Here is a 14,865-nt window from a genome sequence, read left to right as displayed (position 1 = left end):
TGGAAGAAAACGAGAGAATCCGTGACCTGTTTGGGTTTGGCAGAAAGCTGAACATGCGATGTTATGGAGAAGATTGATAAGCAGCTGTTAAAATCTTCTTATCAATTAAGTGAGCTGTGGAGGATATAGAATAAGTAGTAACTTAGAATAATAGGAATTAGAATTTAGTTCAAGTAAATTCAGAAGTTAAGGAGAAAGCTGGGCCCAGTGGCACACGTAGTCCCAGCTACTCAGAAGGTTAAGTCTGGGGGATCGCTTGAGTACCTGCAGTTCAAATCCAGTTTGGGCAACATAGATCCTGTGTGTGTGTGTGTGTGTGTGTGTGTGTGTGTGTGTGTGTGTGTCTCAAAAAAAAATGTTAAGGAGACTTCAAAGATTTACAGATTGTACATTGGAAAAGTACATTGGCCAGTCACAGTGGCTCACACCTGTAATCCCAACATTTTGGGAAGCCGAGGTGGGGGTATTACTTGAGGTCAGGAGTTTGAGACCAGCCTGGCCAACGTGGTGACACCCTGTCTCTACAAAAATGCAAAAATTGGCCAGATGCAGTGGCTCATGCCTGTAATCCCAGCACTTTGGAAGGCCAAGGCAGGCAGATCACGAGGTCAGGAGTTCGAGACCAGCCAGGGCAACATAGTGAAACCCCGTCTCTACTAAAAATACAAAAATTAGCCGGGCATGGTGGTGCATGCCTGTAATCCCAGCTACTCGGGAGGCTGAGGCAGGAGAATCACTTGAACCTGGGAGGCGGAGGTTGTGGTGAGCCAAGATCGTGCCACTGCACTCCAGCCTGGGCAACAGAACGAGACTCCGTCTCTAAAAAAAAAAAAAAAAGTCCAAAAAAATAAGCCAGGCATGGTGGTGGGCACCTGTAATCCCAGCTACTTGGGAGGCTGAGGCAGAGAATTGTTTGAACCCGGGAGGCGGAGGTTGCAGTGAGCCGAGATCGTGCCAGTGCATTCCAGCCTGGACGACAGAGCGAGACTCCGTCTCGAGAAAAAAAAAAAAAAAAAAAGCCGGGCATGGTGGCATGCACCCTGTAAATTCAGCTGTTCAGGAGGCTGAGGCAGGAGAATCACTTGAACCCAGGAGTCGAGGTTGTATTGAGCCGAGACCGTGCCACTGCACTCCAGCCTGGGCAGAGTGAGACTGTCTCAACAAAAAAAGTCAAGTCAGATAACCTGTCTCCAAATTCAGTTCTTTCACTGCACTACCCTGTCTATAAAGGAATGTGGGGGGACATGTCTTCAATCAGAGGAGCAAAGAGAACGGATATGAAAATCACTTAACAGTACTGTACAGTCTGGTCTAAGGTCAGACTTCCTTGTAGACTCTGTGGGAAAGTATTGATTCTTAGATTCCCCGGTTGTCTTTCCATTATCTCATTAATCTAATTACAGAATAGAGAGTGTAGCAGGTGCCTACATCTTCAGGGCTGTTCTCTAAGCTCACTGTCTCCACAGATTGGCCCGTATGAACCACACTAACATTCCCTTTGGTCCCTGGCTTCCATTTGGGTTTGCTCACCAGGGATTCCCCCCAGGAAATCAGTGGGAAGGAAGACAGTAAGGTCCTCTAATTCCCTAATTAGAGTGTGTCTGCCTCTAATTCCCTCCCTGCAAGATTGTCTCTAGCTGCTTCGTCCTTCAGCGTGAGGTCTCTTACTGAGTCTGAATCTACATGACTCTTGCCTCATTTTCTGGTAACTGTTGCCTCCCTTTGTTAAGTTCTGCTACATAAGTCCTCTTCAAATTATGCTATTACAAGTGCGCCATCTGTTTCTTTTTGGGATCCAGACTGATAGAGTAATTGGTACCAGAAGTGGCCCTGGGAAACAGACTCTTAAAATTAGATCTGGGATTGGGTTAGTCATACTTGAAGAGCTCAATAACCTCCTCATGGGAGGTGGTGGAGGGGAGGCCGGGAATGGGACATGAGTGATCCATGGCATACAGTGGTGTCACAATTCAAATTTTGACTGGTGGTACCATGGGATGGAGTGAGGTAAAGGGCAAGGCATGGGGAAAGGGAGCTGTGACAATTATAGTGACAATAGGCCCTCGAGTGCATGCAGAAGAATAAGAGAAATAAAAATTAGGGACATGCCAGCTGGGTGCGGTGGCTCACACCTGTAATCCCAACATTTTGGGAGGCTGAGGCAGGTGGATCACCTGAGGTCAGGAGTTCGAGACCAGCCTGGCCAACATGGTGAAACCCCCATCTCTACTAAAAATACAAAAATTAGCTGGGCATGGTGGTGGGCGCCTGTAATCCCTCGCTACTCTGGAGGCTGAGGCAGGAGAATCACTTGAACCCAGGAGGTGGAGGTTGCAGTGAGCTGAAATCGCACCATTGCACTCTAGTCTGGGTGACAAGAGCAAGACTGTCTTAAAAAAAAAAAAAAAGAAGGAACATGCAATTAACATTCAAAGAGAAAGAGAAGGCCTCCTTGGGAGTTTTGGTGAAGGGCCCTTATCTGTAGATATTTTTGGTGTTAGCTAATTGATTCCACTGTCCCTAGGACTGAAATAGATGGCAGCCTTTGAAAATCAAGTTTTACTTGATTTGTATAAACAGAAAAGCTCTAGATCTGTTGAAGAGAATTCTGACTTGAGCTAGTCTGTTGAACTCCCCTCAACAAGGCCAGTTCCTTGAATAAAAGGGAATCTGAATCTGGGTCCCCCTTCTAGCCTTTTTTTTTTTTAGACGGAGTCTCGCTCTGTTGCCAGGCTGGAGTGCAGTGGCGCGATCTGGGCTGACTGCAACCTCTGCCTCCTGGGTTCAAGCGATTCTCCTGCCTCAGCCTCCCAAGTAGCTGGGACCACAGGCACGTGCCACCACACCCGGCTCATTTTTTGTACTTTTAGTAGAGACGGGGTTTCACCATGTTGGCCAGGATGGTCTCGAATTCCAGACCTCGTGATCCGCCCGCCTCGGCCTCCCAAAGTGCTGGGATTACAGGCGTGAGCCACCAGGCCCGGCCTTCTAGCCTTATCCCAAAAGGGCTTGTGACTGTTTACCAGGGAGACAAGGGAAGAGGAAATAGACGTTTGAGGACTACTGTAGACCCAGAATAATACGGCTCAGAGTAAAGACTATGCTGGTCAAGTGATCCATGGAGTTTTGGCTTGGGCCCATCTCACAGTTGGCCTAGTGGGTCCCTGAACCCAGGTCCACACAGCATAGTGGGAATGGACAGCCTCAGCAACTGACAGAATCCCCAATTTAGTTCCCTGACCCATGAAATAAGGAATATTATGACAGAAAAGGTTAAATGGAAGACAGCAGAACTGCCTCTTTCAAAATAGTAAACCAAAAACAACACTGCATTCCTGAAAAGACTGAAGCGGTTAGTACCATCAACAAAGACTTAGAAAGTGCCGGATGGTGGTTCCTGCCATTACTCCACTCAACGCACATATTTTGTTTGTTCAGAAGATAAAGGATCATCAAGAACGACAGTGGATTATTGTAAACTTAATCATGTGGTGACTTCAGTGCAATCTGCTGTCCCAGATACTGTGTTCTGTTTGTCTTTTTACGGAAGCAAATCAACATCCCCTGCCACCTGGTATGTAGCTATTGATGTAGTGAACGTGCTTTTTTTTTTTTTTTTTTTTTCCCCCAGACCTGATAGTAAACACTACCAAAAGCCATTTTCTTTCAGCTAGCAGGACCAGCAATACAACTTCGTTGTTGTATGTCAGGGCTCTATTATCCCTCTACGTAGTGTGCAGAGACCTTCATCACCTCTAAATTCTATGGGGTATCATGCTGATCCACGGTATCATGGACGTGGTGAGCAGGATGTAGCATCTGCCCTGGATACTTTAGTAAAACTCAAGCCTGCCAGAGGATAGAAAATAAATCCAACAAAAAATCATGAACCTGCCTCCTCAGTGAAATTCCTGGGGATCCAGTGGGCTGGGCCATGTTGCAATAATCCCTTTCTAGGTAAAGGATAAATTACTGCATTGGCCCCTCCTGCCACTCAGAAAGAGGCACAATGCTTAGTAGGCCCCTTTGGATTCTGGAGGTAATATATATTTGGGTGTGGTACTTCAACCCATCTGCTGAGAAATCTGAATTGTTGCCATTTTTTAGGGTGGCCCAGAACAAGAGAAGGCTCTGAAACAGGCCCAGGCTGCATTACAAGTAGCTCTGCCACTTGTGTCTTATGGTCTGGCAGAAGTGTCTATGGCTGACAGGAATGCTTATATGGAGGCTTTGAAAGGCTTTTTCAGATGTGTGGTAGCACAGCCCTTTAGGAATGTAAAGAAAAGCTATGCCGCCGTCTACAGGTAACATTCTCCTTTTTTTCCCCCTTTTTAAATATATAATTATTCTTTAACGTAGTGATGGGGGCTTGCTATGTTGCTCAGGTTGGTCTCGAACTCCTGGGCTCAAGTGATCCTCCCGTCTCGGCCTCCCAAAGTGCTGGGATTACAGGCATGGGCCACTGCACCCAGCTTCATTCTGCTTTTGAGAAGCAACTTCTGGCTGGGTATCAGGCCTTATTAGAGCCTGGACTCTTGACTGAGAGTTACCAGGTTACCATATAACTGGAGCTGCCCATCATGAACTGGGTGTTGCTTGGCCTATCAAGTTATAGGGCAACTTTGGGCTCTCCTGGTCCAGAGGTCTGAGCTCCTAGAGGAGGAATACCTCTGTCAGGGAACTCAACAATGGTTCCATTAAATTGAAAATTGAGACAGCCACGTGCCTATTTTGGGCTTTTTATGCTAATGAACCAACAAGCAAAGCACTGTTGGGATGATTGATGCTGATGTGAAAGGTGAAATTGGGTCATGACCACACAAAGAAAATAAGGAAGAATATATCTGGAATGCAGTAGATCCCTCAGGGCTACCATAAATGTGATAAATGTTGATGGAAAATGACAACAACTAGGTAGGCTGTACCACTAACAGACCCTTCAGGAATGAAGTTTCAGATCTTATCACCAGGCAAGGAATCAGGACTAGCCAAGATATTTGCAGAAAGCAAAGGAAATGCAGAATGGGTGGTGGAAGAAGGCAGTTATAAATACCATTTATGACCACATGACCAGTTGCAGAAATGAGATTATAGTTATGAGTATTTCTTCCTTATTTTATCATAAATCTTGTAAGTATATATGAACCAATTCTTTCCTTTTCATCCCCTCCCATTCTCCTACTGAGATAAGATGTGTTAGCAAAGTTTAACCTTGGCCAGGCACAGTGGCTCACACCTGAAATCCCAGCATTTTGGGAGGCCAAGGCGGGTGCATCACTTGAAGTCAGGAGTTCGAGACCAGCCTGGCCAACATGGCAAAACCCCATCACTACTAAAAATATAAAAATTAGGCAGGTGTAGTGGCATGCACCTGCAGTCCCAGCTATTTGGGAGGCTGAGGCAGGAGAATCGCTTGAACCTGGGAGGTGGAGGTTGCAGTGAGCTGAGATCATGCCACTGCACTCCAGCCTGGGTGACACAGCGAGACTCTGTCTCAAAAAAAAAAAAAAAAAAAAAAAAAAGGATTATCTTAAGCTGGAGGCAAATGGGAATCAACAGGGGCAGAAAAAAAGCCTTCCCCTGGAGCTTCCCTCTTCAGCTTTAAGTGGAAACTTCTGGAAAATTCCCTCGCCTAGGGAAGTTTCATGACCATGAAGAAGAGGGAAAGTCAGTTGAGCTGGACCTGCATAAATAATCCTTATCTTCCATTAGTTTCCCCCATACATTTATCTTCCCATAGTTTTCTGCCCGTTCAAGCCTAAAGCCCTTTTTCTTTGTCTTAACTCTTATCTATAAATGTATTGTTCTTTGCTAAGATGTGATATAAGTCCAAGTGCTAACCATCCCTTTGGGTTGTTCACCACTGAATTTTCTGCCTTGCGATGTGCACTGCATGCACTGACAAATTGTTTTTCTCTTGTTAATCTGTTTTTTGTCAGTCTAATTTGCTACGCTCTAGCCAATGAACCTAAGATGAGTAAAGGAAAAAGAACATTTTTTCTCCCCTAGGAAGTGAAGCAGCAGGCATTACAATCTGAAGATCATCATCGTTAGTGGTGATGAGCGACAGACGTAGATGTGGCAGAAGGTTCTGGTTTCTCCTTGCTCTTTTCCCTGCTCCATGTCCTCATACTTGCTTTGTGTTTAGCTGTTGCTCCTTTTTGCCAGCTCTGCTGACCAACAGCAACGCTAGACCTACTGCCAGATATTTGGCTGTGAATTCACAGAGACTGTAGATATAAAGAGACAAGCTCTCATGGTCTTCTGCCCCAGCACCCTGGGTGATCCCAACACAGCAGCTGGATGTGTCCCACTTGCAGATTTCCCTGAAAGCATTAACTTGTGCCCCCAAGCTACTGTTTCACGAGAGCCTGTTCATGATTTTTCCGTTGGCTTCCTAGCACCCTTATTGGACCATGACTTCTCCGGGCTGTCTTCCATTAGTTATTTCATCTTGGCAGGAAGTAGAAGGCAGAAGTCTTTCTCCCCAGTTCCCACCCCAACTGGATGTTCCTTTTTTTTGTTTTGAGAGATGGAGTCTGGCTCTGTCACCCAGGCTGGAGTGCAGTGGTGCAATCTTGGCTCACTGCAACCTCTACCTCCTGGGTTCAAGGGATTCTCCTGCCTCAGCTTCCTAAGTAGCTGGGACTACAGATGTGTGCCACCACGCCCAGCTAATTTTTGTATTTTTTTAGTAGAGATGGGGTTTCACTATGTGTTGGCCAGGCTGGTCTCGAACTCCTGATTGCAGGTGGTCCACCTGCCTCGGCCTACCAAAGTGCTGGGGCTACAGATGTGAGCCACCTTGCCCAGCCTTTATGAGTTTTGTTTTGTTTTGTTTGAGACAGGGTTCTCACTCTGTCACTCAGACCAGAGTACAGTGGTAAGATCTCGACTCACTGCAACCTCCACCTCCCGGGTTCAAGTGATTCTCTTGCCTTAGCCTCCCAAGTAGCTGGGACTACAGGCATGCACCACCACACCTGGCTAATTTCTCTGTATTTTTAGTAGAGATGAGGTTTCACCATGTTGGCCAGGCTGGTCTCGAACTCCTGACCTCAGGTGATCTGCCCACCTCAGCCTCCCAAAGTGCTGGGATTACAGGCGTGAGCCACTGCAAACCGCCTCAACTGAATGCTTTTTTTTTTTTAGATGGAGTCTTGCTCTGTCACCAGGCTGGTGTGCAGTGGTGCTATCTTGGCTCACTGAAACCTCCACCTACCCGGGTTCAAGCAATTCTCCTGCCTCAGCCTCCCGAGTAGCTGGGATTACAGGTGTGCACCACCATGCCCACCTAATTTTTACATTTTTAGTAGAGATGGAGTTTCACCATGTTGACCAGGATGGTCTCAATCTCCTGACCTCATGATCTGCCCGCCTTGGCCTCCCAGAGCGTTGGGATTACAGGCGTGAGCCACTGTGCCCAGCCTAACTGAATGCTCTTAAGAGCACCCATGTCACCTCTTCAACACTTTGCTGCTTAGAAATTTCTTCCACCAGATACCCTAAATCATCTCTCTCAAGTTCAAAGTTCCACAGATGTCTAGGACAGGGACAAAATGCCATCAGTCTCTTTGCTAAAGCAAAGTAAGAGTCACCTTTATTCTACTTCCCAACAAGTTCCTCATCTCCACCTGAGACCACCTCAGCCTGGACTTCATTGTCCATATCACTATTAGCATTTTGGTCAAAGCCATTCAACAAGTCTCTAGGAAGTTCCAAACTTTCCCACATCTTCCTGCCTTCTTCTGAGCCCTCCAAACTGTTCCAACCTCTGCCTGGCACCCAGTTCCAAAGTTGCTTCCACATTTTTGGGTATCTTTATAGCAGCACCCACTCCCAGTACCAATTTATTGTATTAGTCTGTTCTCATGCTACTATGAATTACCTGAGACTGGGTAATTTATAAAGAAAAGAGGTTTAAGTGACTCACAGTTCCACATGGCTGGAGAGGCCTTAGGAAACACAATCATGGCAGAAGACACCTCTTTACAGGGCAGCAGGAGAGAGAATAAGTGCCGAGCGAAGGAGAAAGCCCCTTATAAAACCATCAGACCTCTTGAGAACTCACTCAATATCACGAGATATGAGGGAAACCCGCCCATGATTCCATTATCTCCTCCTGGTCTCACCCCTGACACATGGGGATTATTACAATTCAAGTTGAGATTTAGGTGGGGACACAGAGCCAAACCATATCACCAATCAAGCAAGAAGAGAGCTAAGTGAAATATTCAATGTGTTCAGAGAGAAAAACCACCAAACTAGAATTCTGTACCTTGTGCAATTATCCTTCAAAAGTAGACTTTTTCAAACAAAGAGAAATTGAGGGAATTTGTTGCCAATAGACCTGCCTTGAAAGAAGTGCTTTAAAAAGTTCTTTAGAGAGAAGGAAAATAATATAGGTCAAAAATTTGTATCTATATAAAGAAAGGGGCTGGGTGCAGTGTCTCATGCTTGTAATCCCAGCACTTTGAGAGGCCAAGGTGGGGGGATCACTAGGTCAGGAGTTCAAGAGCAGCCTGGCCAACATGGTAAAACTCCGTCTCTACTAAAAATACAAAAATTAGCTGGGTGTGGTGGCATGCACCTGTACTCTCAGCTACTTGGGAGGCTGAGGCAGGAGAATCACTTGAACCCAGGAGGCAGAGTCTGCAGTGAGCCAAGACTGTGCCACTGTACTCCAGCCTGGGCGACAGAGTGAGACTCAGTCTCAAAAAAAAAAAAAAAAAAAAAAAAAGGATGAGTGCTGAAGCAGGAATAAGTGAAGGTAAATTTTATTTATATTTATTTATTTATTTATTTTTAGATGGAGTCTCACTCTGTCACCCAGGCCGGAGTGCGATGGCGCGATCTCGGCTCACTGCAACCTCTGCCTCCCAGGTTCAAGCGATTCTCCTACCTCAGCCTCCAGAGTAGCTGCGATTACAGGCATGCACCACCACACCTGGCTAATTTTGTATTTTCAGTTGATGTTATGCACACCAAAGTTTGAGAACCAGTGGCCTACAACTGATAAGGTAAAAATGCCAGATCCAGCTGGGCACAGTGGCTCATGCCTGTGATCCCATTACTTTGGGAGGCCGAGGCGGACAGATCACCTGAGGCCAGGAGTTTGAGACCAGCCTGAGCAACCATCTCTACTAAAAATACAAAAATTAGCCAGGCATGGTGGTGCATGCCTGTAATCCCAGCTACTCGGGAGGCTGAGGCAGGAGAATCACTTGAACCCTAGGTAGGCGGAGGTTTGGAGTAAGGCAAGACTGAACCACTGCACTCCAGCAAGGGCGAAAGAGTGAGACTCCATCTTAAAAAAATAAATAAATAAAATAAAATAAAAAGAGACCAGCCTCAGGTGCTTCAGTCAAAACATTAAATTCTGGCCAGGCGTGGTGGCTCACACCTGTAATCCCAGCCCTTTGGGAGGCTGAGGCAGGTGGATCACCTGAGGTCAGTAGTTCAAGACCAGTCTGGCCAACACAGCAAAACCCTGTCTCTACTAAAAATACAAAAATTAGCCAGGTGTGGTGGCGGGCGCCTGTAATCCCAGCTACTCGGAAGGCTGAGGCAGGAGAATCACTTGAACCCAGGAGGCAGAGTTGCAGTGAGCCGAGATGGCACCATTGCACTCCAACCTGGACGACAATAGTGAAACTTTGTCTCAACAACAACAAAAACAAATAAAAAAAAAAACATTAAATTCTGAATCGCAGGTGACTGCACCGATGTTATTGAATTTGGCCCCATCAAGTCTTATATTCCATCACCTTTCATCCAACACACTGAGAATTCACTCCCACATGTTTCACTCCAGGCTTTGCTAATACAGATTAGCAAAACCTTCTACCTCTTTGGTGTATAAACCATACAAAAAAAAAAAACAAAAAAAACCGGTCGGGTGCAGTGGCTCATGCCTGTAATCCCAGCACTTTGGGAGGCCAAGGGTGGGGTGGGATCAGTAGGTCAGGAGTTCAAGACTAGCCTGACCAACATGGTGAAACCCCGTCTCTGCTAAAAATACAAAAATTAGCCAGGCATGGTGGTGTATGCCTGGGCTACTCAGGAGGCTGAGGGAAGAGAATTGCTTGAACCCAGGAGGCAGAGGTTGCATTGAGCCGAAATCGTGCCACTGCACTCCAGCCTGGGCAACAGAGCGAGACTTCATCTCAAAATAAAAGGCCAGGCGCAGTGGCTCACGCCTGTAATCCCAGCACTTTGGGAGGCCGAGGTGGGTGGATCATGAGGTCAAGAGATTGAGACCATACTGCCCAACATGGTGAAACCCCATCTCTACTAAAAATACAAAAAATTAGCTGGACATGGTGGCAGGCGCCTGTAGTCCCAGCTACTCAGGAGGCTGAGGCAGGAGAATCACTTGAACCTGGGAGGCAGAGGTTTCAGTGAGCTGCGATTGTGCCACTGCACTCCAGCCTGGCAACAGAGCAAGACTTTTTTTTTTTTTTCCTCAAAAAAAAAAAAAAAAAGAAAGAATTAGCTGGGCATGGTGGTGCATGCCTGTAGTCCTAGCTACTCAGGAGGGTGAGGTGAGACAGTTACCTGAGCCTGGAAGTCAAGACTGCAGTGAGCCATGATTGCACCACTGTACTCCAGCCTAGGTGACACAGCAAAAGCCTGCCTCAAAAGTAATGCCAGATCTTCCCTGGTATAAGGTTGTCAGGAAAGGATTCCTAAGACTTCAGAAAATGGGTTTGGTGGAATGGCTTCATTATACTCAACCTGCTGTTACCGGAAAGGGGTCCCAATCCAGACCCCAAGAGAAGGTCCTTGGATTTTGCACAAGAAAGAATTCAAGGCAAATCCATAAAGTGAAAGCAAATTTATTAAGAAAGTAAAGGAGGGCTGGGCGCGGTGGCTCACGCCTGTAATCCCAACACTTTCCGAGACCCAGGCGGGCGGATCACGAGGTCAGGAGATCGAGACCACGGTGAAACCCTGTCTCTACTAAAAATACAAAAACTTAGCTGGGCACGGTGGCAGGCGCCTGTAGTCCCAGCTACTCGAGACTGAGCAGGAGAATGGCATGAACTCGGGAGGCGGAGCTTGCAGTGAGCCGAGATCGTGCCACAGCACTCTAGCCTGGGCGACAGAGTGAGACTCCGTCTCAAAAAAAAAAAAAAAAAAAAAAGAAAGGAATAAATGAATGGCTACGCCATAGGCAGAGCAGCAGAGCAGCGGCATGGGGTGCTCAGCTGTTTATACTTATTGTTACTTCTTGATTATATGCTAAACAAGGAGTACATTATACATGAGTTTTCTGGGAAAGGGGTGGGCAATTCCCAAAACTGAGGACTTTTCCCCTTTTAGATCATACAAGGTAACTTCCTGATGTTGCCATGACGTTTGTAAACTGTCAAGGTGCTGGTGAGGGTGTCTTTTAGAATGTTAATGCATTATAATTAGCGTATAATTACAGTGAGGACGACCAGAGGTCATGTTCATCACCTTCTTGGTTTTGGTGGGTTTTAGCCAGCTTCTTTACTGAAACCTGTTTCTGATGGCGAAGCTCCTGGCCTTTCCCACTCAGCATCTCCATGATTCCTGCTGAAATTAGACAGCCCCGTTCCAACATCCCTCTTGTCATCTCCAACTGCTATCCTGGCTATCACCGATCTCTTGTAGGATGGTGGTGCTTCTTGTAAGAAGCTTCACACCAGTGGCTTCTTAATGCCTCAGGGAAGGGTTTTTCATTTTTTTTTTTTTTTAGCCCTCCAGGAAGTACAGGTGTCAGAGGCATTTGAACCAGAATGACCCCATCTTGAATGGGTCTGGGTAAAATGAGGCTGAAACCTACTGGGCTGCATTCCCAGGAAGTTCAGGCATTCTAAATCACAGGATGGGATAGGAGGTCGGCACAAGATGCAGGTCACAAAGACCTTGCTGATAAAACAGGTTGCAGTAAAGAAGGATTACCGGCAGAAGCAACCATACCCAGCCCTTCTTTTTTCTTATACACATCTTGCAAATGTGTTTTTTGTTTGTTTCTTTGTTGCTGTTTTTACTTTGAGACAGAATCTTGCTCTGTTGCCTAGGCTGGAGTGCAGTGGTGCGATCTCGGATCACTGTAACCTCTGCCTCCCGTGTTCAAGTGATTCTCTTGCCTCAGCCTCCCGAGTAGCGGGTACTACAGGTGTGCACCACCACACCCGAACTTCCCAGGAATGCAGCCCAGTAGGTCTCAGCCTCATTTTACCCAGAGTAAACAAGGTGAGTGCAATGATCACAACAAGCACAGCGCCTCAGTGGTAAGTGTTTTGAACCACATGGATCTATGATCGAGGCAGTTGATCATGTTCTTGAACCAAACTGTGGTCCACTCACCCACAGTAGCAGAGCCAAACTGTGGCACTGGGATAACAGTGAGAGAAAGTGAGGCATTTGTTGCAGGGCACCAAGCAAGGAGAATCCAGCAGCTCATGCTGAAGACCCAAACTCCTGGATGGCTTACAGGTAAGGGTTTTTGTTTGTTTGTATTTGAGATGGAGTCTTGCTCTTGTTGCCCAGGCTGGAGTGCAGTGGCATGATCTCAGCTCCCTGCCACCTCCGCCTCCCGGGTTCAAGTGATTCTCCTGCCTCAGCCTCCTGAGTAGCTGGGATTATAGGCATGTGCCACCACACCAGGCTAATTTTGTATGTTTAGTAGAGACTGGGTTTCTCCATGTTGGTCAGGCTGGTCTCAAACTCCTGACCTCAGGTGATCCGCCCGCCATGGCCTCCCAAACTGCTGGAATTACAGGCCTAAACCATCGTGCATGGCCTAGGTAAGGGTTTTCTTTTTTCTTCTTCTTTTTTTTTTTTTTTTGAGACACAGACTCGCTCTGCTGCCCAGGCTGGAGTGCAGTGGCGTGATCTTGACTCACTGCATCCTCTGCGTCCCAGGTTCATGCCATTCTCCTGCCTCAGCCTCCCAAGTAGCTGGGACTGCAGGCGCCTGCCACCACGCCCAGCTAATTTTTTGTACTTTTAGTAGAGACTGGGTTTCACCATGTTAGTCAGGATGGTCTTCATCTCCTGATCTCGTGATCCGCCAGCCTCGGCCTCCCAAAGTGCTGGGATTACAGGTGTGACCACCGCGCCTGGCCAGGTAAGGGTTTTCAAAGGCAGAGAGGCACAGATTACAGGCAAAGCCATAAACCAATATATGATGGCTATACATGGGGGTCTCACAGTGAACACCAATCTCTACAAAAAAAATTTTTTTTTAATTAGTAGGGTATGGTGGCTTGTGCCTGTGGTCCCAGCTACTTGGGAGCCTGAGGTAGGAGGATCACTTGAGCCTAGAAGGTCAAGCTTGCAGTGAGCTGAGATTGTGCCACTGTACTCCAGCCTGGGCTACAGAGCAAGACTCTGTCTCAAAAAAAAAAAAAAAAGAAATGTTAGCCCTGGCATGTGGGAATGACCTCCTCCAGGCCCCTCAGGAAGAAATGTAGAACAAGGAACTGTGATCAGAGTTCAGTCCTCAGTTTCCCCTTATGTGAGGCTTACAAGCTGGTGGGATCTGCTTGGTGGGTTTCTGTTTGGTCAGGGTTTCTGAAAAAACAACTCAGGGACATATGGTAAGATGTTATCTTTAGTTTCTATAGGAAACAAAACATCTCCTGACCCTAATTTCCTTAGCAATTATTTTAAGTTACTTTTACCAAAGAAAATGGTCTGGGCGCAGTGGCTCATGCCTACAATCCCAGCACGTTGGGAGGCCAAGGCAGGCGGATCACCTGAGGTTGAGAGTTCAAGACCAACCTGACAAACATGGAGAAACTCCATCTCTACTAAAAATACAAAATTAGTCGGACGTGGTGGTGCATGCCTGTAATCCCAGCTACTCGGGAGGCTGAGGCAGGAGAATCACTTGAACCAGGGAGGCAGAGGTTGTGAGCTTCGATAGCACCATTGCACTCCAGCCTGGGGAACAAGAGCAAAACTCCATCAAAAAAAAAAAAAAAAAAAAAAAAAAACACACAAAGAAAATGACTGAGGCAATGTTCAATCAATTTAGAGGTTTATTTTGCCAAGGTTGAGGATGTACATGGGAAAAAAAGACACAAGCCACAGTAAAATCTGTGGCCCATACTTTTTCCAGAGAAGACTTTGAGGGCTTCAATATTTACAGGGGAAAAAGTGGCGGTCAGGCCTCTGAGCCCAAAATAAGCCATCATATCCCCTGTGACCTGCACGTACACATCCAGATGGCCAGTTCCTGCCTTAACTGATGTCATTCCACCACAAAAGAAGTGAAAATGGCCTGTTCCTGCCTTAACTGATGACATTGGCCTTGTGAAATTCCTTCTCCTGGCTCTTCCTGGCTCAAAATCTCCCCTACTGAGCACCTTGTGACCCCTACTCCTGCCTGCCAGAGAATAACCCCCCTTTGACTGTAATTTTCCTTTACCTACCCAAATCTTATAAAATGGCCCCACTCCTATCTGTCTTTGCTGACTCTGTTTTCGGACTCAGCCCACCTGCACCCAGGTGATTAGAAGCTTTATTGCTCACACAAAGCCTGTTTGGTGGTCTCTTTACATGGACGCACATGAAATTTGGTGCTGTGACTCGGATGGGGAGGGGGGACCTCCCTTGGGAGATCAATCCCCTGTCCTCCTGTTCTTTGCTCCATGAGAAAGATCCACCTACAATCTCAGGTCCTCAGACCGACCAGCCCAAGGAACATCTCACCAATTTTAAATCGGGTAAGCGGCCTCTTCTTACTCTCTTCTCCAACCTCTCTCACTATCCCTCAACCACTTTCTCCTTTCCACTCTTCAATCTCTCCCTTCTCTTAATTTCAATTCCTTTCATTTCCTGGTAGAGACAAAGGAGACATGTTTTCTCCGTGGACCCAAAACTCCG

At 46.7% G+C, this 14,865-nt stretch overlaps 1 annotated feature.

The window, feature by feature from the left end:
* Positions 10,904-11,198: a silencer, noted in NCBI's record as "tiled region #1830; K562 Repressive non-DNase unmatched - State 3:PromF". NCBI's record gives its function as "represses a minimal TATA promoter and a strong SV40 promoter by Sharpr-MPRA in K562 cells {active_cell/tissue: K562}" and the evidence as "EXISTENCE:reporter gene assay evidence [ECO:0000049][PMID:27701403]".

Source organism: Homo sapiens, chromosome 11, assembly GCF_000001405.40.
Source record: "Homo sapiens chromosome 11, GRCh38.p14 Primary Assembly".
Taxonomy (NCBI): Eukaryota; Metazoa; Chordata; class Mammalia; order Primates; family Hominidae; genus Homo; species Homo sapiens.
Note: the sequence above shows the minus strand (reverse complement) of the source record. Positions and strands in the feature narration are given on the sequence as shown.